At 37.3% G+C, this 14,292-nt stretch overlaps 1 long non-coding RNA gene across 1 annotated transcript in view; it reads left to right on the top strand.

Moving 5' to 3' along the window:
• The window catches only part of LOC101929028 (uncharacterized), a 382,849-nt gene that overhangs the window by 257,340 nt on the left and 111,217 nt on the right, over window positions 1–14,292 (top strand). Inside the window, exon 8 of the long non-coding RNA XR_007061175.1 lies at window positions 114–2,305. This is a non-coding gene — a long non-coding RNA (uncharacterized LOC101929028). The remainder of the gene's footprint in view (window positions 1–113; window positions 2,306–14,292) is intronic.

Genomic DNA, 14,292 nt, shown 5'->3' with positions numbered 1-14,292 from the left:
CACTGCAAGCTCCGCCTCCCGGGTTCACGCCATTCTCCTGCGTCAGCCTCCCGAGTAGCTGGAACTACAGGCGCCACTACACCCGGCTAATTTTTTGTGTGTTTTCAGTACAGATGGGGTTTCACCGTGTCAGCCAGGATGGTCCCGATCTCCTGACCTCGTGATCTGCCCGCCTCGGCCTCTCAAAGTGCTGGGATTACAGGCGTGAGCCACCGCGCCTGGACGTAACATTGCTTTCTTAATGATTCACAGATTTTCTGTCCTCTCCTGAAAAATATGCATTATCCATTAATATTGTTGCTGTTATATGCAATATGAGAGATTTCTTCTGGACTTTGCCCATAGGAAGGCTAGGAGTGCTGGTCATCTTAATTCGTAAAGTATTTCATGAAAGTGTATGTGTGTGTACATACATGTCTCTGTGTGTAGGTTTGTGTAAACATAAGGCTATGATATTTTTTGTGGAAAGTTAGGAAGGCTGAATTAACTTAAACTCCATCTGAAACACAAACAGAGGCTCAGGAGTTTGAAAAGCTCCCTGTCAATAATCAGACAGAGCCAGGGCAATGTAAAATGGATTGCCAGGGTTGGAAAGGGTGAACCCATAAGTGACGCCAATTGTTTCATGGCATCTAGATACAATCAGTATTGAAAAACATTATCTTTGTGGGTAGCTATTTGTCTCATTTCTCCCATTGTGCTGGATCCTACATAAAGAAATTATTTTGCCAATGATAAAGCCAGACACTAGTGAAAATGGTAAGGACTCATTTCAATCAGTAATAATTATTGCAATAGAAAAAAAGGGTCCATTGTGGACTGAACTCAACTTTGATTTGTACAGAGGTACAGGAAATTCTAAAGAGAGAACAAGGGAGTAAACAGGAAAGGAGGTGAGCATGAGTTTGGTAGAGTCAAGGATGTGAAAAAATACAAAGGGTTAGTTAGTGTGACTGTGGTCAGGCCAGCTGTGCTTGCTAGCTGGAGATTATAGGAGATATTTATCATCCCAGAGAGACTGGGAGACAGAAGCTCTGTCCTCAGGTGTTGGATGAAACAAATAGAAAAATTTTTGGCAGCCTTGAATTTTCTCAAACAAGTGCTATAAGGCGGCCTAGGGTCATCTTAAGGATGTGGCCTGGAGGTGTTAGAAATGATGTTAGTGTTTGTTGAAGTCTTTATGGGCCAAAGTTAAAGCCTAGTGGAACAGGAGGCCCAGAGGAGCCTGGCTGGAGTTTGGTCAAAGAGAGAGTCTTTGTTAGTTCCACAGAGATCAGTGTAATCAATTTTCCCAGCTATTTTCATGTTTACGATCAGTGCTTGTTTGTTGAAAAGTTAAGTTAGCTATCAGAGAGAAAGTAAATTTGAAAAATGTAAAACTGAGCTAAAATGGAACTTCCATCTGTGTTCTTACTCAAAAATACATCATGCTTTGTATATCAGAAATCCATAATTAATCTTGAAGCTTATACAAATTTTTGTGTAATATGGTTGGGAATATTTCCTTGACTGCTACTAGTACATGTATAAGTTTGCTCTGAATTTAGAATGCCATTTATGCTTAATGTAGGGAAGATTATGTCTCACTTTGCTCCAGAACCAAACAAGATACATTCAACTACAAAATACAGAATGTAAATATATAGTCTATTTCAAAATCTTCAGAATTTATTCTGATGTATTATTTAATATAAATACCAGGTTGTTTTAAAAGTTTGACTTAATATACTTGACTTATAGGGACAGTAACTTTTAGAAACTGAATACAATATCTACATCATCGAAAATCCTTAACCTTATAAATCTCTAAAAGTGCCTTTAGCTATAAGTGATTTAACTGAGATCTAGATAAATCCCAAGTAACAGAAAGGAAAATGTCTTTTAAGAGAAAATCTAGAATATCAGATAAGGAGCAAAAACACAAGACATGTATCGGTATAAAAATATTTTCTCTTAGCAACAATTTTTCATACAGATGGAAGAATGTTCTTCCTGAAGCAGGACTCAGTGCTGGGGTACAGAAAATTGTTCCTGATGCTATAAATTTTTACTGCCAAGAGTTTTAAGAGCTATAGATAGTCAGATTCTGTAAACTAAAGTCATCTTCCAAAGTGCGAGGTTTCTAGTTGCATCTTTACTGTATTTACTCAGGTTGCCGCCATATATAAAGGAGTGCAAGAGTCCATAAAACTTACTCCCTCTGCTCTTGAAGGTGAACAGCACACTTTAGTAGCAAAAGAAAATTGGTAGTGAAAGCAAAACAAGGAAAGAAATCTCTCTGGGCCCTGCTTCTGTTTCTCAAAAGGTAAGTCAATTTAGTTTTAGTGGTAATAAATAGATAAATGATTTAAATAAAGACCAGCTCAATTCTGAAAAAGAAGAAAGTAACTTCAAAAAAATGATTAATGTTTAACATGCTCTCTTTAGAAATACCATATAGACTTAAATAGTCTGGACTAGTTTTTCTTGGAAATGATCATCATAACTTCTGGAACTATTTTAACAGGCGTGGAAATGTGCTTTAGGTTTTTTGTGTGATCAAAAATTGGAATGACTAGCTCAGCATCTGTCTCAGTCAGTTTGGCTGCTGTAACAGAAATACCATAAGTTGGCTGGGTTAAGCAACAAGTATTTATTTCTCACAGTTCTGGAGGCTGGGAAGTCCAAGAGCAAGGTGTCAGCAGATTCATTGTCTGGTAGGGGTCCACTTTCTGTTTCATAGAGGCCGTCTTCTTGCTGTGTACTCAGCATGCAAGCAAAGAGGCAAGAGAGCTCTCTGGGGTTTCTTTTATAAGGTTGTTAATTCCACTTATGAGGCTCTGCCTTCATGACCTAATCATCTTCCAAAGGCCCCACCTCCTAATATCATTACAATGAGGGTTAAGATTTCAACATATGATTTTAGGGGGACACAGATATTCAGTCCTTAACAGCATCCACACACTCAGGTTGCAGCAAAGTTCTAAACAGGACATACATTTGAATGATCTGTCTCGAAGAATATTTGCAAAGTGTATCATCTTTACTCCACAAATATATCATTCCCTGAAAAGCACATTTTACATGCCTTAAATGTGAGCCAGTGGGAAAACAAGCTCATATATTGAATATTAAGCGAGCTTGTCAGGTTTTTTTCATTAGATACAATTGATTTCTGAACTTATGACCGTGGATATTGCTAAAATATTTTTCAAGGCTATTCTTCATTAACTATTTTAAGAAACATACAAAAGGCCTTCAGGATGACTAGAAAGTGAATACAGACAGCCTCTTAAGATCGTCTATCACTGCTGATGTTTTTAAGTATAAGGGAAGGAGCATTGTCTGAGAAGTGGTCCTTTTCTTACCATGAAAAGTATTTTTTATTTTTTCTATGTATTAGGTGACAGATTATTATATTTAATGTGTATCTCTACTTCCCTTTTTCTAATCATATGTCACTTTTAAATCTAGGTTTGACTCCAATTGCTGGTATTACACATTTACTGGATATCAGTTAAAGTCAGTGGAGAAGGACATTTTAGCAGTAGTATTTTGTTAACACATACAAACTAAAAATGAAAACAAAATTGCAGTTCTCCCTCTATGTTCTAGAAGGTTAGGCAGTCAACATTTTTTAAAGATAGATAATTACTATTTTTAGTAATACATAAACCTAATGTTTAAAGACAGAATTTCTCTTTAAATTATGTATGTCCTCCAAACAAATATTACTTTAACTACCTGGATGTTTACTGTTCTTGATATTTCTATATAATGACTCTTCTTTCATTTTCATTGACTTATCTCCATCCCCAATTCTGTGTCTTTGCACTAATAAACCCTGATTAGATGTCAAAAATAGAAAGTAGGTTTTATTCATATATTCACTGATCCAATGAACAATTATAATTGAGTTCCTGCAGTGTCCCAGGCATTGTCCTAAGCATGAAGGTAATCGATAGATTAACAAAACTGACCTGCTCCCTGAACCTACTCAGCCTACTGTTTGCCAGATGTTGGGTATAACATTTCTCAAATTATTCCACTTAATTTTAACAAAAATCCTGTGAAACATATAGTATTACAATCTAGTTCTATAGATTAACAAATTCAAGAACATTTACTTGACTTGGCTACGTCATCTGATTAGAAAAGCACCAGCGATAATTAGCTCATAGCATATAGATGTCCTTCTCAGGATAGTTTTTCTTTTTTAAATTGGTTGAAGAATAAACAAACAAACAGACAAACTGCCAGGTCAAACCATTGAATACAGAAGATAAAAATCATGATGAAAGGATTGTTTTTCACTCTCCTTTAAAAAGTGTATTTTATTTATGTGCTCAGGTTGTTTAGTATTCTTTAATAAATGAATACATTAAATCTGGATTAATAATAACACAAATAGATGTTTTGCATTTTAGTTGTAAAAATTATAATAACAATTTGAGGAAAAGTTCTGGCTCTGAAGTAAACTGTACCATATGATATTGAATAGCCAATTGGTAAGGAAGGCAGAAAGTTAAAAAAAAAAGTTATTAGAGGGAATTATTATCCAAAGTGGAATGAAGCTTCTAAACAGAGATGTTTTCAGACTCTGTTCATTTCATCCTCACATCATGGAAAAAACAGAAACAGGCATAACAACTACTACAAAACATTGTGCTGGCTGACAAAAAATATTTTGGGTTATCTTTATTTGCCAGTTTGGGTCGTGGATGAAGTTTACCATCCTACTTTAGGTTTCTTCACCTGTAGATTTAAATACAACTTTGGATGAAGGTAACTGGTTTCTAAGGATGCTTTTTAAAACCCCTATGATGAGTATTATTACTCATATTGCAAAACAAAACAGAAAGCATTTGGTCAATGGCTTATAGGTGATTTTTGGAATTAAAGCCAATCTTTACAGAACTAATACAAGCCAAACTCATAAACTTTCAGATGAAATTGTCCTTTGCCAAACAATGTTGACCAATTATCACAACTGTATTTGCAAAACCATAGTAAAGGAAGTGGTATGCTATTTTGTTTGGACTCTATTTGAGAACTAATTAAAATGATCTAAAAATTAGAGCAAACTTTATTTTAAGATCTTAGATATCTGTTTTTATTTTAATCACTTATTTTCCATTTCTTTGGGTAGTCATTCAAATTACGGGAAATAAGAATTTCAATTTGCTTTAATTAACATATTCTTCATTTCTACGTGAGACAGCACTATTACCTTCATAAGATAAATATAGCTGGAAGATTGACAGATGTTATTATGAACATAAATGGCCGTAATAATCGGCATGAGTTTTGAATGCTGTAATTACCCAATGGGATGGACTAATGCTGAGTTTGACCACAAAAAATTTTCCCTGAAGCCTTGCATGGAAAATTTCATACATGATGTCAACTCATTGATTTTACAATAACGTAATTCTGGAGCAAATACTAACTGTGTGTGTGTTTTGTATAATATGCTCTTGATAGTTCAATATATCATGACACTCTACAAGGCAGGATTCAGGAGGGAGTGCTAACTTGCTGCAAAACTCTCACTTTTTAATTTACTTTACTGACTCATTTTGAGATTCAATGTCACGTAAGTCAGACCACAGCTTGTGTCATTCTTATTCTGATAAGAAACCATTTGGCATTTTGAAAAATGACCTCCATGTAATCACAATCAGAATACATAAGGATGTTTTAATGGGGAAAAATCCTTTTCTATTCAATCTGTGTGTGTGTTTCTTCTCATAAGCCACTAAATAAGCTGCAAATTTCAGCAGATAAAGTTTAACTCAGTTTGTTCAGTGCGTTTGTCTTTAGATATTGCTTGGAATAGTATGAACAGGGCAATCAGCCACTCCAAACTATTGCGTACTATCTAACATAATATGAGTAAAGTAGATATCACATTATACATATGAAAAGTGATTTCAAGAGTAAATTCGATTTTATTTTCCTTAGAAGCTAGTACTTTTAAAAGTATAATATTGAAGATGAAATACCATATTGAAATATAAATTAAGGTAAGAAAAGTGATCAAAAGCAAAATAAAATCTAGGTAGGAAAATGGATAAATCTTTTTAAGTTTTCTAGGGTAAAAACATATAAAGGCATCTGTATATGTATGACCTTCTTGTCTCTGCAACATATATAGTCATTACTTTACAAAATTAATATATAAACTTATGTTTTTCATTTATTGCTAATTATAAGATTAATATGTTTTGTTGTTATTCATCAAAAACAAATTAAGATTAAATATATCATAAAAGATTTTACAAGGTAATCCATTATGTTCACAGTGCTGACCACTCAGCAATGTTTAACAAGTGCATATCAACAATCACTAAATGCCTCTGTTCCTGATATACTTTCTGAGTGAGCAGGTGTTTTAAAAAGTGCTTTTAGGGCATTTTTTGCTTCAAATGTTGTATGGAATTATAGGGAGAAGGATCAAGTAAACTGGAGTTAAGAAAGTGAGAACTCAGGTCTGCAAGATGATTTACTGGAGGGCAGAAGTTGTAATTACTGAATAACTCAGTAAGTAAATAAGAAAGGTCCTTAACAAGCACAAGATAAAGCAATGGAGAGAATCTAAATTAAATATAACCAATCAGCACACACACACACACACACACACGCATATATATATATATATCTATATATATCTATATATATATATATATATATATTCAATGTATTCATTCAACAATTTTAATAAATATTTATCATGCTCTAGGCACACTTGTGGGTGATGGGGATACAGCGATCAGCAAAAAAGGCAAAAATATCTGTTCTTACAGCCTTCACGGAACTTGCATTCCAATGAGACACAGCATTAATAAGAAAAATGAACAAACCATAATGTACATTAGTAAGAAATTAATGCTATGGCAAAAATAAAACAGCGGAGAGGCGAAAGGAATGTTGAAGAAGTTGGTTAAACTTTAGGTAGGTGTTAGCTTTTTATTGCCGCTGTAACAAATTGCCACACATTTAAGAGTTTAAAACCACAGAAACTTACTACCTTTTGGTTGTGTAAGGTCATATAGACCCAGTGTGTAATGGGTCACACTGGGCTAAAATCAGGATATTGGCAGGGCTGCATTCCCATCAGGTTGCTCTAGGGGTAAGTTCTTTTTTTGGCCTTTTCTTGCTTCTATGGACCATCCACATTCATGTTGGCTCATGGCTTTCTTCCTGCATCTTCAACACTAGCAAAGCTGCCTGTCTCTGTGTGTTTCTTCCGTAGTCACGTTTCACTCTGGCTCTTCTCTTCTGCCTTGCTCTTCTACTTCGAAGTACTCTTGGAACTCTGTGGAGCCCACGGGGATAATCCAGGATGATGTCCTTGTTGTAAAGTCGACTAACTAGCAACCTTAATTCTATTTACAACTTTAATTTCCCTTTGCCGTGTAACCTAACATATTCACAGGTTTGGGGGATTAGGATATGGCCATCTTTTATTCTGCCTATAATGAATATACAAGAAAAGGAGACAAGGATAGCCAATAAAAGCCTCACTCACATTTGAGTAAAGATGGCAGGAAAATGTAACTCCTGCTGCAAGGGCTCTGAAGCAGGGATTTGCCTAGGCCTTCCAGAAATTGTGTGGCTGAAATAAAGAGCTCAGGATCAGAACATGAGCAATAGGAGAGGAGTTCAAAGAGTTAATGGCAAAATTTGGAGGTCAAATAGTGTCTTGTAGCAAAACAAAACAAAACAAAAAACTGACTTCTGCACTAAGTGAGATAAAAATCCCTATAGGATTTTAAGCAAAAAAGGTAACATTCTGCCAAAGATTTAAAAAAGTTAATCCTGGAAGCTTGTTAATGGTCAAAGGCAGCATCTAGAGAAGACCAACCCAAAGGTACAACAAGAATCTGTATAGAAGGTGAGGGGGGCCAGGGCCCAGCAGTAGTAGCAGTAAGAAGTGAGAAGCAGTTGGATTCTGGGTATATGTCAAAAGTAGAGCTGGCAAGATTTGCTGGAGGTTTACAGCTGTAGTGTAAATAAAAGTAGTTAAGGGACTCTCCAAAGTAGTTGGCTTTCACATTTGGAAAAACTCATTTGCCTTTTATTGAGACAGTTAAGATTATAAGAAGAACACTATGATTTTATTTGATTTGTTTTTCAGAAACAGAGTCACTCTGTTTGTAAAAGTCTTACTGCAGCCCTAAACTCCTGGGCTCAAACAATTTTCCTGCCTCGTCCTCCCAAGTAGCTGAAACTACAGGCATGTGTCACCATGCTCAGCAACAGTGGATTTTTGGTGGAAGATAATATTAGGAATTAATCTTGAACATGTAAAGCTTAAGATGGCTGTGAGACATGCAAATTAAGAGAGCAAATAGCTGAATAGATGAGCCTAGAGTTCAGAGAATATATAAATTGTAATAAGTGAAAGATTGTGTATGTTTTTCAAAGCCATGAAATTGATTGAGGTAGTCACCCAAGAGTATAGACAAGAAATAAAAGAGTCTAAAGACTAAACACTGGGACACACCAAATGGAAGTGAGGGGAAGGAAGAGGAACCAGGAAAGAACACTGAGAGACAAGAAAGAGAAGTTGGACAAGACCACGATGAATAGAGTCCTGAGAGCCTAGAGGAGAAAATGGTTCCAAGAATCACAATTACTCTATCATGCTGTTGTGTCAAGCAAGCAGATGGCAAAGAATGACCACTAGATTTAGTGATGTCAAGGGGTTTTGTTGATGGGCACAGCTGCAGTGGGAGGCAAAACTGTGATTGGGGTGAATAGCACACTGGGGGAAGACAATGAGAGACAACAAATAAAACTTTGTATACATTTTTCTTTGTGCACATGAAATGCTTTGTACACATTTTGCTATAAAAATTTACATAGTAAGTGAAGGAGGAATGGGGTAAATGTAACATTCTAAGATAAGAGAAGTAGTATTTATTGTGGAGAGTGAGTTACTAGAGACAAAAATTTCAGACATGAAAAAAGGGAGAATTGCTAGAAGAATATTCCTGAGTGTAAGCGGGAGAGGAATGAATTCTAGTGCAGACATCTTGACCTTGGCTAGTACAAGATGAAATTTATCCATAGGTAGAAAAAAGAAGGCAAAGTATGTGTGCACAGATGCTGAAACTCTAAGTGGTAGTGATCTTATGGAGGATTTTTGGGGTGGTCTCAGTATTTTCAGTGACACAAAACACAACACCAGCTCATACAGAGAATGAGTTTTTGGTGGTGTACGTTTGAAGGTAAAAGGCAGTGAGAGAACAGATGATTTAAGAAATATAGAAAAACTTTGTGTCACCATTATGGGTTTAACTGAAGTTAGTGTCAGGGAATTTAGGAGAAACCAGTTATCATGGTTCTCTGCTTTTTTCCCATCCCCATTCAGCTCTATCAGTACAGAGATACAATATTGGAGGGGACCAAATTTAATCAGGGTTGTGGTTTAAGCAAGTAACTGATCAAGTGACAGGGACAAGGGATTTGGAGTACAGGCAGACCTGGTTTCATTGTACTTCACTCTATAGTGCTTCACAGATCTTGAAGTTTTTTGTTTATTTGTTTGTTTCTTTGCTCGTTTTTTGAGAGAGGGCCTCGCTCTGTCACCCAGGCTGTTGTGCAGTGGCACAATGTCGGCTCACTGCATCCTCCGCCTCCCGGGTTCAAGTGATTCTCATGCCTCAGCCTCCCAGGTAGCTGGAATTACAGGCTTGCAACACCATGCCCAGCTAATTTTTGTATTTTTAGTAGACATGTGATTTTGCCGTGTTGGCCAGGCTGATCTCAGCTATTCCTGACCTCAAGTGATCCGCCCGCCTCAGCCTCCCAAAGAGCTGGGATTACAGGTATGAGCCACCACGCCTGGCCTGCGTTTTTTACACATTGAAGGTTTATTGCAACCCTGTGTTGAGCAATTCTATCAGCACCATTTTTTTTTCCGCCAGCGTGTGGTCACTTTGTGTCTCTTTGTCACATTTTGGTAATTCTCACAATATTTCAAACTTTTTCATTATTATTTTATCTGTATGTTGGCCTGTGATCAGCAATTTTAATGCTACTGTTGTAATTGTTTTGGGGAACCATGAACTGTACCCATATAAGACAGCAAACTTAGTAAATGTGTGAGTTCTGACTGCTCCACCAACTGGCCATTTCCTCAGCTCTCTCCCTCACTTTAGGCCTCCCTATTCCCTGACACACACCAATAATAAAATTAGGCCAATGAATAACCATACAATATAGGCTCTAAGGGTTCAAGTGAAAGAAAAAGTCACACATACCTCACTTTAAATCAAGAGTTAGAAATGATTAAGCTTAGTGAGAAAGGCATGTTGAAGGCTAAGCTACAACTCTTGTATGAGTTGGTTAGCCAAGCTGTGAATGCAAAGAAAAAGTTCTTGAAGAAAATTAGAAGTGCTATTCCAGTGAACACAGGAATGATAATAAAGCAAAGTAGCCTTATTGCTGATATTGAGAAAGTTTCAGTGGTCTGGATAGATCAAAACAGTCACTTCATTTTCTTAAGCCCAAGCCTAATCCAGAGCAAGGCCCTAACTCTTAAATTCTATGAAGGCTGAGAGAGGTGAGGAAGCTGCAGTAAAAAAGTTGGAAGCTAGCTGAGGTTGGTTCATAAGCTTTAAGGAAAGAAGACATGTCTATAACATAAAGGTGCAAGGTTAAGGAGTAAGTGCTGATGAAGAAGCTGCAGCAAGTTATCCAGAAGATCTAGCTAAGATCATTGATGAAAGTGGCTACAGTCACCAACAGAATTTCAATGTAGACAAAACAGTCTTCTCTTGGAAGAAGATGCAATCTAGGACTTTCATTGCTACAGAGGAGAAGCCTATGCTTCTCCAAACTTCTCAAACTTTGGAAGCCTATGTCTTCCAAACTTCAAAGGACAGCCTGACTCTCTTGTTAGGGGCTAGTGCAGCTGGTGATTATAAGCTGAAGCCAATGCTTATTTATGATTCTGAAAATCGTATCGCCCTTAGGAATTAAGCTAAATCAGATATTCTGCCTGTGCTCAATAAATGGAGCAACAAAGCCTAGATGTCAGCACATCTGTTTACGGCATGGTATACTGACTATTTTATGACCACTATGGAAAAAAAAAACTTCCTTTCAAAATATTACTGCTCATTAACAATGCACCTGGTAACCCAAGAGCTCAGATGGAGATGTACAAGGAAATGTGTGCTGTTATGTAAGTGACAACACAATATCTATTATGTAGCTCATGGATGAAAGAGTAATTTCAACTTTCAAGTCTTTTTATTTTTGAAATACACTTTGTAAGGATATAGCTGCCATATATATGGTGATTCTGATGGATTTGGTCAGAGTAAATTGAAAGGCTTTTGAAAAGAATTTACCATTCTAGAAACCATTAAGAACATTGGTGATTCATGGGAGGAGATTAAAATATCAACATTAATAGGAGTTTGGAAGAAGTTGATTCCAACCCTCAGTGGATGACTTTGTGAGGTTCAAGACTTCAGCGGAGGAAATAACTGCAGATGTGATGGAAATAGCAAGAGAACTAGAATTAGAAGTGCAGCCTGATGATGCGACTGAGTTGCTGTAACCTCATGACAAAACTTGAATGGATGAGGAGTTGCTTCCTATAGATGAACAAAGAAAGTGGTTTCTTGAGAGGGAATCTACTCACGATGAAGATGCTGTAGACATTGTTGAGATGACAACAAACAAATATTCAATAAATGTAGTTGATAAAGCAATGGCAAGGGTTGAGAGGACTGACTTCAGTCTTGACAGAAGTACTGTGGGTAAATGCTATCCAACAGTGTTAAATGCTACAGAGAAGTTTTTCTTTCTCTTTCTTTCTTTCTTTGTTTCTTTCTCTGTTTCTTTCTTTCTTTCTTTTTTTTTTTTTTTTGACAGAGTCTCACTCTGTCCCCCAGGCTGGAGTGCAGTGGCCTGATCTCAGCTTATGGCAACCTCCACCTCCTGGGCTCAAGCAATTCTTAAGCCTCAGCCTCCCAAGTAGCTGGGACTACAGGCGCATGCCACCACACCTGACTAACGTTTACATTTTTAGTACAGACAGGGTTTCACCATATTGGCCACGCTGGTCTCGAACTCCTGACCTCGTGATCCACCCGCCTCGACCTCCCAAAGTGCTGGGCTTACAGGCGTGAGCCACCACACCTGGCCTGAGAGATTTTCCTTGAAAGAAAGAGTCAATAGATGTGGCAAACTTCATTGTTGTCTCATTTTTAAAGATTGACACAACCACCCCAACCTTCAGCAAACATCATCCTGATCAGTCAGTAGCCATCAACACTGAGGCAAGAGCATCCACTAGCAAAAAGATTATTACTCAGTGAAGTCTTATGTCATTGTTTGTATTTTTTAGCAACAAAGTATTTTAAAATTAAGGTACTTTTTTTTTTTTTTTTTAGAAATAATACTATTGCACACTTACAGTATGTTGTACGCATACTGTAAGCATTGGGAAACCAGAAAATTTGTGTGACTCACTTTATTGTGATCTTTGCTGAATTGTGGTGGTCTGGAACTGTACCCACAATATTTCCAAGATATGCCTGTATATCCTTTTCTATTATATTTAACCTATGTAAGAAGAGAAATCAGAAATCAGGGTATTATGGATATGAGGAACCATAAAATAATGTGAGCATCAATGGAATAGTGTTTTGAAAATTTGGTAAGTAACCACTAACGGGAAGGAGCTAAAACAATGCAACTGGCATCAAAAAGGAATATTTGAAATATTGCTCACAGAAAGTGTGCAGCTATTGGCAATGTCAGGTCTTGGGTGTAACCATGGAAATGGTGGATGAGGTGGGGTCCTAGGCGAGTTGTCGGATGAGAGATGTCTTATTAGTTAGATATGCTAGGCTGTGGCTGTAAACACAACCAAAAAAATACCTCACGTCTCTGTTACCAAACTGCGTTTCTAGTTGGTGGCCAATTTTCTGCCAATAAATGATTCAGGAACCCAGACTCCACCTACCTTTTAAATTTTTTCAAACCCTTATTTTTCTTACATCCTATAGGCAGGAGAGTGAAGAGGGCATAGAGGAGGCCAACTAACTTTTAAAAGCCTTGATCCTAAAGTGGCACAGATCAGCTTTGATCACATTTTGTTAGTGAGAACTAGTAATATGACTATACCTTAATAAAAAATTGGAGAAAGATTCTGTGACATGCGGTCTTCATTTAGCTTGAAATTTTATTCATGGAAGGACAGAATGGGTTTTAGTTGCCATTTCTTTGTCTTTGCCATGGTAGGGCCTAGGAAGAAGGATTAAAAGGATCATGTACATTAGTATAGAAATCAGTAAAACATGTGACAGAGGTAGTGTTGAGGAAAGAGACTTTGGTCAGGAGCCAAAGAGAATGAAATGAGTGTTCTAAGAAGTGATAGATGAGTGTTGTAAGGAGGAATAGTGTGTAGTAGGGTCTGATGACACAATAAACAAAAGTGGGTGTTTGTGGGATTTGAGAGCAAGAATCATCTGGAAGAGAATATGAGGAACAGTGAGGATGTGAACCATGTCTTCTAACCTTGGTGTTGTGAGGGGCATGGGAGAGAAAACAGCCACTACCTGTGCCTGCAGCAGGAGCAATGTTTTAGGGAAGATTTGGACTTTTTTGGACAAGAAAGCAAAGGAAGCTTTCACAAAAGAATTTGAGGCCACAACAGATTTTGCTATTGATGGAATTGAAATTCCAGAGTACAGAGTGGAAGAGTTGAGGAGATGAGGAGTGTCAGAAGGTAGAAGGAAAGTCAACCTGCCCAGTTATATGAGGGTTAGGGTCCCAGGAGATGAAGGACCAAAGCATGTTCAGGATCTAACCTATTTTATGACCTCACTTTTACCAATCCCAGCCAAGCCACTATAATCTGGTGCTTGAATTATTGCTTTGGTTTTCTATCTGGTAATCACTAGTGTTTTAAAAACACACCAGATTATTTTGCTCCTCTGGAAAAAAATAGTAAGAAAATCCTTACAATGGACACAAAGTCCTTTAAACTCACAACTTTGCACTCTTCTTCTCCCTACCCTTTCTTCTTCTCCTTCTCTTTCTTCTTTTTCTCCTTTGCCTCCTCCTCCTCTTCCTTATTCAACTTCTTTTTCTTCTCCTTCTCCTCCTCCTCCTTCTTCTTCCTCTTCCTCTTCCCCACCATCCTCCTCCTCCTCTTCCTCCTCCTCCTCTTCCTCTTTCTCTTCTTCTTCTTCCCCACCATCCTCCTCCTCCTCTTCCTCCTCCTCCTCTTCCTCTTTCTCTTCTTCTCCTTCTCCTTATTCTCCTTCTCCTTATTGTCCTTCT

The sequence above is a fragment of the Homo sapiens genome, chromosome 8 (assembly GCF_000001405.40).
Source record: "Homo sapiens chromosome 8, GRCh38.p14 Primary Assembly".
Lineage (NCBI taxonomy): Eukaryota > Metazoa > Chordata > Mammalia > Primates > Hominidae > Homo > Homo sapiens.
This window is presented reverse-complemented; position numbering and strand designations above follow the sequence as displayed.